Genomic DNA, 12,641 nt, shown 5'->3' on the forward strand with positions numbered 1-12,641 from the left:
TAAACTTCCTCCATAATAATCACTTCTGTATCTGATTGTCACACCCTGCCTGACTAAATACAATCCCAGGTATATTCTAGAATACACAGGGAGCCTATTACAACATCCTTGGGCCAGGCGCAGTGGCTCGCGCCTGTAATCCCAGCACTTTGGGAGGCTGAGGCAGGACTGCTTGAGCCCAGGAGTTCAAGACCAGCCTGGGAAATATAGTGAGACCCCATCTTTAAAAAGAATAAATTTTTAAAAATTGGCTGGATGTGGTGGCATGCACCTGTGGTCCCAGCTACTTGGCAGGCTTAGGTGGAAGAATTGCTTAAGCCTGGGAGTTCGAGGCTGTAGTGGGCCATGATGGTGTCACTGCACTCCAGCCTGGGTGGAAGAGTGAGACTTTGTCTCAAAACTAAAAATAAAAATATGACCTCCTTACTGTGGCCTCCAGGACACTACAGAATTCACGTCCATCTATCTCTGTGATTCAGTTTATCTTCAGCTGCAGCCATACTAACCTTGTTGCACTTCCCCAAACACGACAGGATCCTCCTGCTTTCATTCCCTTGTCTTAGGTGCTCTCTCTATGAGACCCTGTTACCTCAGATGCTCCATTCCTCCAAGTCCATGCTCAGATATAACTGTCTTTTAGACATTTCCCAACTACTCTACCTCCCTCTAACCTTCTATATTGTTTACTTTTGTGGTTGTGGTTGTTCTTTTTGAGTTACTGATTGTTGGAATTAAAAGGTCCCCGAGGGCCAGGGACAGTGGCTCACGCCTGTAATCCCAGCAATTTGGGAGACTGAGGTGGGTAGATCATCTGTGGTCAGGAGTTCGACACCAGCCTGGCCAAAATGGTGAAACCCTGTCTCTACTAAAAATACCAAAATTAGCCGGGCGTGGTGGTGTGCACCTGTAGTCCCAGCTACTTGGGAGTCTGAGGCAGGAGAATTGGTTGAACCTGGGAGGCAGAGGTTGCAGTGAGCCGAGATCGCACCACTGCACTCCAGCCTGGGCGACAGAGTGAAACTGCATCTCAAAAAAAAAAAAAAATTCCTCAAGTACAGGAATGCATAATTATTTTGCTATGTACATATCTGATTTTTTAGAGCAGTGCCTGTTGCAAGATAGGCACTCAATCGATACTCATTAAATTAACAATATACACATATATAAAACAGCACTTTCACATGGTTATGAGTGACCTAAGGAAAAACAGAACAGGATGACGTTGTAGTGGGGGCTGTTTTAAATTGACAGTTTGGAGCTGGGCGCAGTGGCTCACACCTGTGATCCCAGTATTTTGGGAAGCCGAGGCGAGTGGATCACCTGAGGTCAGGAGTTCGAGACCAGCCTGGCCAACATGGTGAAACCCTGTCTCTACTAAAAATACAAAAATTAGCCGGGCATGGTGGCAGGTGCCTGTAATCCCAGCTACTCAGGAGGCTGAGGCAGGAGAAATGTTTGAACCTAGGAGGCGGAGGTTGCATGAGCTGAGTTCGAGCCACTGCACTCCAGCCTGGGTGACAGAGCAAGACTCCGTCTCAATAAACAAACAAACAGACAGGTTTGGGAAAGCCTCTGAGAAAGGAATGGTTGGCCTGAGCTAAGCGCCATTACCCTGATCCACCTATTGTAACCACCTAATGGGTTCATTATTTTCCCTGCTCCCCAGATAGAGTCGACTTATCAAGACAGGATAATTGCAATAAAGGGTTTAATTCACATCAATCGAGCTAAATGAGAGACCAGAGTTTTATTACTCAAATAGGTCTCCCCAAATATTTTGAGACGAGCTTTTTTGTTTTTGGGTTTTTTTGTTTTTGTTTTTGTTTTTTTTGAGACAGAGTCTCGTTCTCCTTCTGTCGCCCAGGCTGGAGTGCAGTGGCATGATCTTGGCTCACTGCAACCTCCGCCTCCAGGGTTCAAGCGATTCTCTTGCCTCAGCCTTTTGAGTAGGTGGGATTACAGGCATGCGCCACCACACCCGGCTAATTTTTGTAGTAGAAACGGGGTTTCGCCCTGTTGGCCAGGCTGGTCTCGAACTGCCTACCTCAGGTGATCCGCCCGCCTCGGCCTCCCAAAGTGCTGGGATTACAGGCATGAGCCATCACGCCAGGCCTTCAATTATATTTCTGCAAGATATGTTCCCTGTCTAAAAGAATTCAATTTTTAATGTTTTTGAAACTTATGTGTTTGCTAAACAAATACGTGGGGGCTGATTTTACGATCTGAGGCCAAATCCACAAACTGATTACAGGGTCCAACAAATATTTGGCGAGTGGGAGGAGAGGGGTAAGTGAGCTGGACTGGTGGCGTCCTGGCTGTGAGCAGGCACAGCCGCAGGCTTCAGGGAGCCCCATCGCGGTGACCCTGGAGAGTGGCCTGAATCGGACGTGACCTTGAAGCAAGGTGGTTTTGGGGTCGCCGGCTGCACAAGGCGCGAAGTGGTTTAGGGTCACGGGCTGCACGAGGCTCCAGCACGTCAGGAGTGGGCGTCTGTTCATTCCCACGTGCATCGCGGCTCTCTCCTAGTTGACGCATGCACACCCCGTGGGTGTATGCGTTGTTCATTCCCACAACGGCCATCACCACCTCTCCGCACCCTCTGTCTCCTTCCTTCTCGGGCCTCACCCCTGGCCCTCGCTTTCAGTGCCCAGCCCGGACCGCAGCACTCCAGTTCCGCCCCAACCCGGGAACCCTGGACTGAGGCTCCCGTTTCTGTCCTTTCTATTGGGCGCACTTCCGATGGCGTCAGGAATTTCAGCCAATAGGAGCCAGCCAGGAAGTACCTCTCTGAGCGGTTGGTGCCGGGTATAAAAGAAGGCCGCGCAGCCACGGCTGCTCACGACGCCGCGGATCCCGAAGCCTGTGTAGCAGTGAGACATCAGTGAGGCTGCAGGACGAGCAGGATTGGAAGCGCCCCGGCCAGAAAGTGACCCCCCACCCCTTTCAGGACCCTGTGAACGGGAACAGCCATCCAGAGGGTTCAGGAAGGCGTCCGCGCCCTCACCTCTTCTCCCCATGAGCTCCCCCAGAGCTGTGGTGCAGCTGGGCAAAGCTCAACCTGCAGGCGAAGAGTGTGAGAGCCAGCGCCAGAGAAAGGACGCAGGGAAGGCTGGGGACTGGGCCAGGGGTCGGGTGCACAGAAGACACATGTGTTGACATCTCCCCTCCCTCTCCTCCTCCCCAACGCTCTTCTTTTCTCCCCACTCCCTCCCTTCCCTCCAATTCTTTCTTTCACCTCTCCCTCCCCTACTCTCTCCTCCCCTTCCTTTCTCTCTGCCTCTTCTTCACCTCCTCCTCCCCTCCCTACCTTACCTTACTCTTTCTTCTTCCCCTTACCTCTCCCTCCCCCTCTCCCTGCCTTCCCCTTCCCTCTCTTTCTCTCCTCCCCTTCTTCCCCTCACCTCTCGCTCCCTATTCCCTTCTCTACTGTTCTCCTCTCCTCTCTTTCTCTCCCCTTCTCCTTCCCTCCCCTCTCCCTTCCTATCTCCCTCCTCCTCCTCTCTTTCAGTGGCTACAGCAAACCAAACAGCCCAGCAGCCCAGCAGCCCAGCCATGTGAGTCCCTTGGGATTGGTATCTGGAAAAGGAAGGAAGGTGGGACGTGGGGATGAAGAACAGACTGGGTGTGTGGGGTGCTGGCTCCTGGGAACGAGAACTACTGATAGGGCTGGGTCTGTGTGAGAAGGGAAAGCGGCAGAGGAAGGATACAATGAAAGAGGAAGGGGAGCATTGGCATCCCTGACTTTCCCTCCGCCTACCCTACCTCCCAAGCTGAGGCTTTTTTCTTCCTCTCCTGTCAGGCGGCGCCTCACAGTCGATGACTTTGAAATCGGGCGTCCCCTGGGCAAGGGGAAATTTGGGAATGTGTACCTGGCTCGGCTCAAGGAAAGCCATTTCATTGTGGCCCTGAAGGTTCTCTTCAAGTCGCAGATAGAGAAGGAAGGACTGGAGCACCAGCTGCGCCGGGAAATTGAGATCCAGGCTCATCTACAGTAAGGACAGTCTCTGCTTCCTCTTTCATCTTTGACGTCTGAGCCCAGCATTTTCCCCAAATACTAACCCCAAGTAAACCCTGCACTTGTACCTTGAAGACTTCTCTGCAGTTCATTCCATTTACACTACCTCCTACCCTGGGTCAGACACTCGAATCCTGGTTCCTGTTCTCCGTTCTCCCCTCACTTGCTCCCAGATAGGGCTGTTGTTATTCTGGTCCCAGCATAATTTGCCACTTGTGTGACCAGGCAGTGACGGTGGCATCATATGATAGGCCTCAGGGAGAAATCTGACTCTTCCAACATTAATCCTTCAGACACCCCAATATCCTGCGCCTGTATAACTATTTCCATGATGCACGCCGGGTGTACCTGATTCTGGAATATGCTCCAAGGGGTGAGCTCTACAAGGAGCTGCAGAAAAGCGAGAAATTAGATGAACAGCGCACAGCCACGGTGAGGTGCGGGTCTGGAGGCTCTGGGGTCTCTGAGTTTACTGTGGGCTGGTGGGAGCTCTGTTTGTGGCTGTCAGGAGGGTCCGCATTGCCTTCTGAGAAGTTTACTTCTGAATGTTATTGTGTAAATTTAATATAATGGCACGTATGTTCTACAGCTTTATCCTTGGATACCCTAATTAACCTCATTGTATCTCCAGAATATTAATAAGTACTGCGTATAGGTTTGGATTCTTTGGTTATAAGCAACAGAATCTAACTCCACTGCCTTATGTAAAGAAACATATTGAAAGGCTCTGAAGGAGTTCACTGAATAAATAGCTAGAACTGGCTTAGAGATAGGTACAAAGAGATTTCTAGAGGGTTCCGGAAAGGGAACCATGGCAATGATTTTCCCAGGAGCAATGGTCCAATCAGCTTGCTGTGTCAGGATGAGTGGTCTTCCATCTTTCCTCCTGTTTCTGTTTCACTTCCTCGGGCCTCAAGTCCTGTGAGAGATCATCTGAGTGGCTCAATGTAGGTTCTATGTCTGGCTACTTGCTGTGCTAGGACAACAGGGAGGATCTGTGTCCATGTTACCATCCATCCTATAAGACCACATAAAAAGGAGAGGAAAACCACACCCCACACACCAGTAACTGGTGCAATTTAAAAGGAGGAAATGGAGTTACTGGACCAAAAAGATTCCACTGTAATCATACAATTCATGGTAAGTGTTCCACCTCAGACGGAAATTGTGGCAGGCTTCACTTCCAGGGTGACTTTTCTTTGCACCCACAGATAATAGAGGAGTTGGCAGATGCCCTGACCTACTGCCATGACAAGAAAGTGATTCACAGAGATATTAAGCCAGAGAACCTGCTGCTGGGGTTCAGGGGTGAGGTGAAGATTGCAGATTTTGGCTGGTCTGTGCACACCCCCTCCCTGAGGTAGGTCAGGTGGTGGTGGTAGGGTGAGTTCTGAGTACCAGTTAGGAATGACCCAGTTTAATGTATTTCATGTGTCCATGTGTAAAACCTAGATACGAACTTGGGGTTTCTATTGGAATACTGCCTTTTTCTTTTCTTTTCTTTTCTTTTTTTTTTTGAGACAGAGTCTAACTCTTTCACCCAGGCTGGAGTGCAGGGGCACAATCTCGGCCTCCCAGGTTAAAGCGGTTCTACTGCCTCAGTCTCCCAAGTAGCTGGGATAACAGGCATGTGCCACCACACTCGGCTAATTTTTGTATTTTTAGTAGAGACAGGGTTTTGCTATGTTGGCCAGGCTAGTCTCGAACTCCTGACCTCAGGTGATCCGCCCACCTTGGCTTCCCAAAGTGCTGGGATTACAGGCGTCAGCCACCATGCCTGGCTGAACTACTGCCTTTTTCTTTTCTTTTTTTTTTTTTTTTTTTTTGAGACAGAGTTTTGCTCTTGTTGCCCAGGCTAGATTGCAATAGTGTGATCTCGGCTCACTGCAACCTCCCCCTCCCAGGTTCAAGCGATTCTCCTGCCTCAGCCTCCCAAGTAGCTGGGATTACAGGCATGGGCCATCACACCCGGCTGATTTTGTATTTTTAGTAAAGACGGGTTTCACCATGTTGGTCAGGCTGGTCTCCAACTCCTGACCTCAGGTAATCTGCCTGCCTCGGCCTCCCAAAGTGCTGGGATCATAGGCATGAGCCACGATGCCTGGCCAATGCTGCCATTTTCAAACACCTATACTTGATATGTATTCGTAGATTTAAATAATGTGGTCCAATCAAACCTTTTATTTTCTGATCTTTGTTAATATATAACTATACCAGTAAGTTTGCATGTAAATAAAGTCATTGCTCCACAATTCCAAAGGAGTGCATTTTTCTGTATGAATGATTTTCATACAGAAATTTTCTTACCATAATTTATTTACTTGGCTCTCATTGATACACCATCAGTTTGTTCTAGATCTTTCTTAATGCTGAGAATATTCTTGTGAAAACATTCTGGAGCATGAGCTAAATCACTGTGTGAATAATTCCAAAATATGGATTTATTAATAGTAGGCCCCAGTACTTTTCTGAACCTTGATCCATATTAAAAATTTGTCTCTCCAAACTCCTGTGCTTGGGAGGGACTTTCCAGGGTGTCCTAGGGTCTCCACATCTCAATGAAAGCTGGGGAAGGAGAATTTCCCTCATCCTGGGCCTCTGCTTAGTACTTATTCCCTTTTCTGCCTTCCTCTAGGAGGAAGACAATGTGTGGGACACTGGACTACTTGCCGCCAGAAATGATTGAGGGGAGAACATATGATGAAAAGGTGGATTTGTGGTGCATTGGAGTGCTCTGCTATGAGCTGCTGGTGGGATATCCACCCTTTGAGAGCGCCTCCCACAGTGAGACTTACAGACGCATCCTCAAGGTGGGACAGTCACCTTTGGGCATTCATGGGGGAGCTGGTCAGTGATGGCTGCTGGGCTGTGGGCACACACACACACAGGGTTGTCTTCTGTGGTCCAGAACAGCGCCTTAACAAGGCTCAAAGAAGAGGGAGGACATTGATCAAAGAAATTAACCAGACTTCTCTTTCTTCTTTCCTGGCCTCATCAGGTAGATGTGAGGTTTCCACTATCAATGCCTCTGGGGGCCCGGGACTTGATTTCCAGGCTTCTCAGATACCAGCCCTTGGAGAGACTGCCCCTGGCCCAGATCCTGAAGCACCCCTGGGTTCAGGCCCACTCCCGAAGGGTGCTGCCTCCCTGTGCTCAGATGGCTTCCTGAGCCCTGTCTGCCTCTGTTCCCTTTGTGTGTGTTCAGGGAGCTCTCCTGGCTCTGCCACCTCATTTGTCTTTATTTTTTTCTCTTTTAAGATGTAAGATGCTAATTAATAAAAGCTGAATCATTTCATACCAGCTCTTCATAGTTGTGTGAGTTATTATGTGACTGGGTAGAATCTTTATTTCTTGTGGGAACTCTTTCCCATGAGAGCTGCCCAAGGTTGTTCTCCCTGCTACCCCCACCTTCCACCTCGGGAGATGGTGACTTCATTCTTCTGAAAACTCTTGCCTACTTTCAGGTCAGGCACGGTGGCTCACGCCTGTAATTCCAGCACTTTGGAAGGCCAAGGCAGGCGCAACACTTGAGTTCAGGAGTTCAAGGCCAGCCTGGCCAACATGGTAAAACCCTGTCTCTTCTAAAAATACAAAAATTAGCTGGGCGTTGTGGCGGGCACCTATAATCCCACCTACTTGTGAGGCTGAGACATGAGAATTGCTTGAACCTGGGAGGCAGAGGCTACAGTGAGCTGAGATCGTGCCATTGGAGTCCAGCATGGGAGACAGAGTGAGACACCGTCTCAAAAGAAAAGAAAGAAAACTCTTGTCTACTTTCTGCAGATAAATTCCCTGAGGGTACATAAACCTGCCACCTATCACAGTGGCTCCTTGATCCAACTTACTATTCTCCATGTTTTCAGGAGTATGCCATTTGTAAAACAGGACTGTCATCAACCCAAAGGTCCACTCTCTTTTTATGGACATCAATATGCTGCTGTCTCAGAAATAAAATGTTTCACTGCACGTCAGTGCAACCCACTTCTTAAGTGAATACACTAGCACCTCTGTGTTGTGTTGCACTCTGATGACATTAGAATAAGTCATTCCTCATAATAAATGTAATATCACCTCTTCTGAAATTACTGCATGCTGCAATTTGGGGAGTGGCCTTCCAGCCTTCTGTAACCTTCTGTGACAGCTTCATGTGGCAGCTGCTCCCTGCACCCATTATAAACTGACTACCACAGTAAGCATCTAGACTCCTCAGCTGTAAGCTCAAATGTTTTTTGATCAATGCAGTCAGTTACACCAGTATTTCTCCTAACTTTAGTTGTTAAGCACTTTATATGGAGTTTGCCTTGTTAATGTTACTCCTATCATTATATTCTACAAAGTCTCCTCATTGTGAAATATCCAGCAGTTGCAGGCATGATTTCTGCTATGACCAGACCCACTACGTAAGCATAAATAACTCAGCCACTTCACTTGGATGAAAAGCTCCCACTATTGCAGATCTATAAGTTAAATACTCCAAGACATTGGTTCATGGTTTTTAACCTGCACTTTCAGTATTTACCTCTTTTTTGTTTTTTCTTTCTTTTACCTGCATGGGGAGACACAGTGCTTACCTCTATATGCTTTGCTTCATCCTATCAGTTTTCCTGAATTAACATTTTAAACACTTGGCAATTCCTAATAAATTAACTGGTTCACACATATAAACTCTTACACATTTTAGGTGCTGGATAAACACATCACTGGGCACATTTTTGGCAGGTAAGGATAGAAAAATCACTAGGGCCTCAGCACTGATCACCAGATGATATATGTTTAAATAATGAAAACTCTGTCATGCTTTACATGAGGGATTTGAAAGTGTCCCCAGGCCGGGCGTAGTGGCTCACACCTGTAATCCCAGCAATTTGGGAGGCTGAGGCAGGCAGATAAACATGTGAGGTCAGGAGTTCGAGACCAGCCTGACCAACATGGTAAAAACCTGTCTTGACTGAAAAATACAAAAATTAGCTGGCCATGGTGGCTGTAATCCCAGCTACTTGCGAGGCTGAGGCACGAGAATCACTTGAACCTGGGAGGTGGAGGTTGCAGGGAGCCGACATTGCGCCACTGTACTCCAGCCTGGGCAACAAAGTGAGACTCTGTCTCAAAAAAAAAAAATTGTCACCAATATCTACATAGCTTTCTTCAGCAGCACTGATTCCAGACATTCCATGATGGAATATAAATATACTAACTTTAATATCTGTTCTGCATCCAAAGCGAAAACTAATTTAACCCTACGGGTCATACACATATGGAAAGGAGAATTATTCCTCTCTTCTAAATTGGGCAAATTAGTATTGTCAATGATGAGTAACAGTGTCAACAGCTTGCACGCTAATTAAGCAACATTTCTCAATAATCTCATTTTACAAATAATACCTTCTAGAAAATTGATTCCATCTACATTTCCACCCAGTTAACATCCTGTCATGATACTTTCTCCACTTTCAAATCTCTGGAGGGCATTTTCTGCACACCTTGTTTCCATTTTCATAACCATATGTATTGTCAAATCATTGAAAGCTGGATTTTATTCTCTAACCTTCATAGTCATGAGAAGAAAAAAAACAGTCACCAACGGAGACTACAAAGGTTTTGTATAATATGATTTTTTTTTTTTGAGACGGAATCTTGCTCTCTGGCCCGATCTCGGCCCACTGCCGTCTCCGCCTCCCAGATTCAAGCGAGTCTCCTGCCTCAGCCTCCCAAGTAGCTGGGATTACAGGAACCCGCCACCATGCCCAGCTAATTTTTGTATTTTTAGTAGAGACGGGGTTTCACCATGTTGGCCAGGCTGGTCTCAAACACCTGGCCTCAGCTGATCCACCCGCCTTTACCTCCCAAAGTGTTGGGATTACAGCCGTGAGCCACTGCACTCGGCCTGTATAATTCTTAAAAGATTGTTATGACCCTAACATGACTTTGTTGCTTTCTTGTTTGCAACCAGTTAGTTCAGGGTTGTCAAAAGGCCAAAATTACAACAAATTTAGTTTTAGATCTAATTGACTTTTGTTTGTGATTCATGAATTGAGGCAATCTCTGTTCTACACAATAGAAATTAGAGTTCCCACTGGGCAATGGCAGAACAGTGGGTTTTGTAAGGTGGGAACAATAAAATAGAACAATAGAAAAAAAAGCTGATTGGTTAACAGATTACTTTTTCTAAGGGTTAAAGCAGAGGGGACTTCCTAATTTCACTAATTCAGGTAGACTGAAATCTGCTTTTAGGAAAAACTGGGATCTGTCTGCTTCCTTAAAACTTCAGTTTGATTAGATGACATTTAGTATGAGAGACGCCATTTTGATTTGGTCAGTGAGGCCTGCTGTAGGAGCTCCAAAACAATGGCCTCCTGTAATTTTTGTTTAACAATGTTCACCTCTTTCCATTCCTTTCTCCATCTATGCTCATTTTTTTTCATGGTCTTGTCCAGTATCATAACTTGAAATAACAGTGTTTGCCAAAAACTTCCAGATTTTTATGTCCAGGCACAACTTCTCTCCCAATATTCAGTCAGAGATTGAACTGCTGTGACACAGACACTCTGTGGTCATACAGACATTTCAAACTGATCATGCTTAAAGTTGGAGTCATGAGCTCACCCAGTCCAAGACTCCCCACGTTAAGGAATGTCAAATCTACTCTACCAGGGCTCTCAGCCAATACCTAAAGCAAAAGTTGCTGGACCATGTGAAGACCAAGCTTGGCCAAAGAAGGCCCAAGAGAGACAATGCATTTGCAACATGTCCCAGCTGGACAGGGTCTTGCTCTATTGCCCAGACTGGAGTGCAGTGGTGCAATTACAGGTCATTGCAGCCTCGACCTCCTGGGCTCAAGAGATCCTCCCATCTCAGCCTCCTGAGTAACTGGAATTACAGGGGTGTGCCACAATGCTCAGCTAATTAAAAATTTTTTTTGAGTAGGCTGGATGCTGTGGCTCATGCCTGTAATCCCAGCACTTTGGGAGGCCAAGGTGAGTGGATCACTTGAGCACAGGAGTTCAAGACCAGCCTGGGCAGCATGGTGAAACTGACTACAAAAACTACAAAACAAAACAAAAAAACCCTCAATTTGCTGGGCGTGGTGGTGCGTGCCTGCAGTCCCAGCTACTTGGGTGGCTGAGGTGGGAGGATCACTTGAACCCTGGAGTTTGAGGCTGCAGTGAGCTGTGATCGCGCCACTGCACTATGGCCTGAGCAACAGAGCGAGACCCTGTCTCAAAAAATATATATATAAATATATATATAAATATATATGTGCATATATATACGTATATATACATATGTATATATACGTATATATGTATATATGTATATATAAATATATGTATATATAAGTAGAGAGAGAGAGAGAGAGAGAGACGGAGTCTCACTCTGTCGCCCAGGCTGGAGTGCAGTGGCGCGATCTCGGCTCACTGCAAGTTCCGCCTCCCGGGTTCACATCATTCTCCTGCCTCAGCCTCCCGAGTAGCTGGGACTACAGGCGCCAGCCACCACGCCCGGCTAATTTTTTGCATTTTTAGTAAAGACGGGGTTTCATCGTGTTAGCCAGGATGGTCTCGATCTCCTGATCTCGTGATCTACCCGCCTCGGCCTCCCAAAGTGCTGGGATTACAGGCGTGAGCCACCGCGCTCTATTTTTTTTCTTTTCTTTTTCTTTTTTTTTTTTTTTTGGTACCAATGAGGTCTCGCTCTGTCGCCCAGACTGTTCTCAAACTCCTGTCCTCAAGCGATCCTCCTGCCACAGACTTCTGGGACCACAGGTGTGCGCCAGCACACTCAGCTTATTTTAAAAAAATTTTTTTTTTTTTTGGTAGTCTCCCTATGTTGCTCAAGCTGGTCTTGAGCTCCTGGGCTCAAGCGATCCGCCCCCCTTGGCCTCCCAATGCGCTGGGATCCCAGGCCTGAGGCATCGCGCCGCCCGACGTCCCCCTTTGGTTACTCTGACTGCCCGCTGATCTGTATAAGAGGATCCGGAGGGGAAATAATGCAAGGTGGAAGTCAGAGTCCGGAGCCTGGTCCAGGGTCTCTGCACTGGCCCTGACCCTGGCAAATGTCCCTGACTCCTGGGGCTCGATTTCCTCCGGCCAAGAATGGACGGTCTCGCGCTTGGTCCCTGGCCTCCGAGTTGTGCCCCCAGGACAGAGGCAGGTCTGAGCCGGGCTGTAGGCCCGCTGCGACTTTTACACCGAGGCCTGCCGGCTCAGGATCTGTCCCCTTTGCAGGTGGTTTGTAGAGAAAAACTACATTAACTACAAGGCATTGCCAGGTGCGACGGCGGGCCCTGGGGCCAATGATGGTCCAGGACAGGGGCGTTTCCTGTGGGTTGCGAAGCTTGGGGCGGGACTTCCGGCATTTGGATGGGACGTAATTTGGGAGCGACGGTTCCGTCCACGCCGGCTCTAGGGAGGGGGCGGTGTTCCGTGGCCGCCTCCCTGGCGGCGCTGGGGAAATGAGCAGGTAGGAGGCCGACAGCGACCTCCGCGTCTCGGAGCGAACCGTGAGCCTCCCCGTAACGAGAGAGTTTGACTGTCAGCCAAGGTCACCGGGCCCGGCGCAGGGAAGGGGTGGGGCTCGGCTGAGCCCGCGAGACCCGCCCTGCTCGCCGCAGCCCCCGCCCCGCTAG

At 48.1% G+C, this 12,641-nt stretch overlaps 2 protein-coding genes across 6 annotated transcripts in view, besides 3 other annotated features; both read left to right on the forward strand.

The window, feature by feature from the left end:
- AURKC (aurora kinase C) lies at positions 2,790-7,315 on the forward strand. 4 transcript variants are annotated; one of them, NM_001015878.2, is made up of 7 exons: positions 2,790-3,073; positions 3,509-3,554; positions 3,800-3,991; positions 4,309-4,447; positions 5,227-5,375; positions 6,651-6,825; positions 7,014-7,315. In NM_001015878.2, exons 1-7 carry the CDS (start codon positions 3,016-3,018, stop codon positions 7,182-7,184), a joined length of 930 nt encoding a protein of 309 aa, NP_001015878.1. In that variant the 5' UTR covers positions 2,790-3,015; the 3' UTR covers positions 7,185-7,315. The 4 variants fall into 4 exon arrangements, with proteins under 4 accessions (NP_001015878.1, NP_003151.2, NP_001015879.1 ...); NM_003160.3 differs by having other exon boundaries at positions 2,790-2,886; NM_001015879.2 differs by having other exon boundaries at positions 2,790-2,881.
- Positions 11,997-12,216: an enhancer, noted in NCBI's record as "active region_15127". NCBI's record gives its function as "activates an Ori minimal core promoter by ATAC-STARR-seq in GM12878 lymphoblastoid cells {active_cell/tissue: GM12878}" and the evidence as "EXISTENCE:reporter gene assay evidence [ECO:0000049][PMID:35858748]".
- Positions 12,237-12,506: an enhancer, noted in NCBI's record as "active region_15128". NCBI's record gives its function as "activates an Ori minimal core promoter by ATAC-STARR-seq in GM12878 lymphoblastoid cells {active_cell/tissue: GM12878}" and the evidence as "EXISTENCE:reporter gene assay evidence [ECO:0000049][PMID:35858748]".
- Positions 12,399-12,641, forward strand: part of ZNF805 (zinc finger protein 805) — a 22,097-nt gene continuing 21,854 nt past the window's right edge. For both annotated transcript variants that reach the window (NM_001023563.4, NM_001145078.2), the window contains exon 1: positions 12,399-12,641. This exon is cut by the window's right edge and continues 47 nt beyond it. The gene's annotated coding sequence lies outside the window, so the exon portion shown is untranslated.
- Positions 12,627-12,641: part of a silencer, noted in NCBI's record as "silent region_11073", that runs on past the window's edge. NCBI's record gives its function as "represses an Ori minimal core promoter by ATAC-STARR-seq in GM12878 lymphoblastoid cells {active_cell/tissue: GM12878}" and the evidence as "EXISTENCE:reporter gene assay evidence [ECO:0000049][PMID:35858748]".

This window comes from Homo sapiens, chromosome 19 (assembly GCF_000001405.40).
Source record: "Homo sapiens chromosome 19, GRCh38.p14 Primary Assembly".
In the NCBI taxonomy this organism is placed as follows: domain Eukaryota; kingdom Metazoa; phylum Chordata; class Mammalia; order Primates; family Hominidae; genus Homo; species Homo sapiens.

What these genes read in the sequence shown, in the direction of transcription:
- AURKC (NM_001015878.2), top strand. Translation starts at nt 3,016, where the DNA reads ATGAGCTCCCCCAGAGCTGTGGTGCAGCTGGGCAAAGCTCAACCTGCA. An exon ending in CAGCCCAGCAGCCCAGCCAT is followed by an intron (nt 3,555 to 3,799) that starts GTGAGTCCCTTG and finishes CTCTCCTGTCAG; the next exon opens with GCGGCGCCTCACAGTCGATG. An exon ending in ATGAACAGCGCACAGCCACG is followed by an intron (nt 4,448 to 5,226) that starts GTGAGGTGCGGG and finishes TTGCACCCACAG; the next exon opens with ATAATAGAGGAGTTGGCAGA.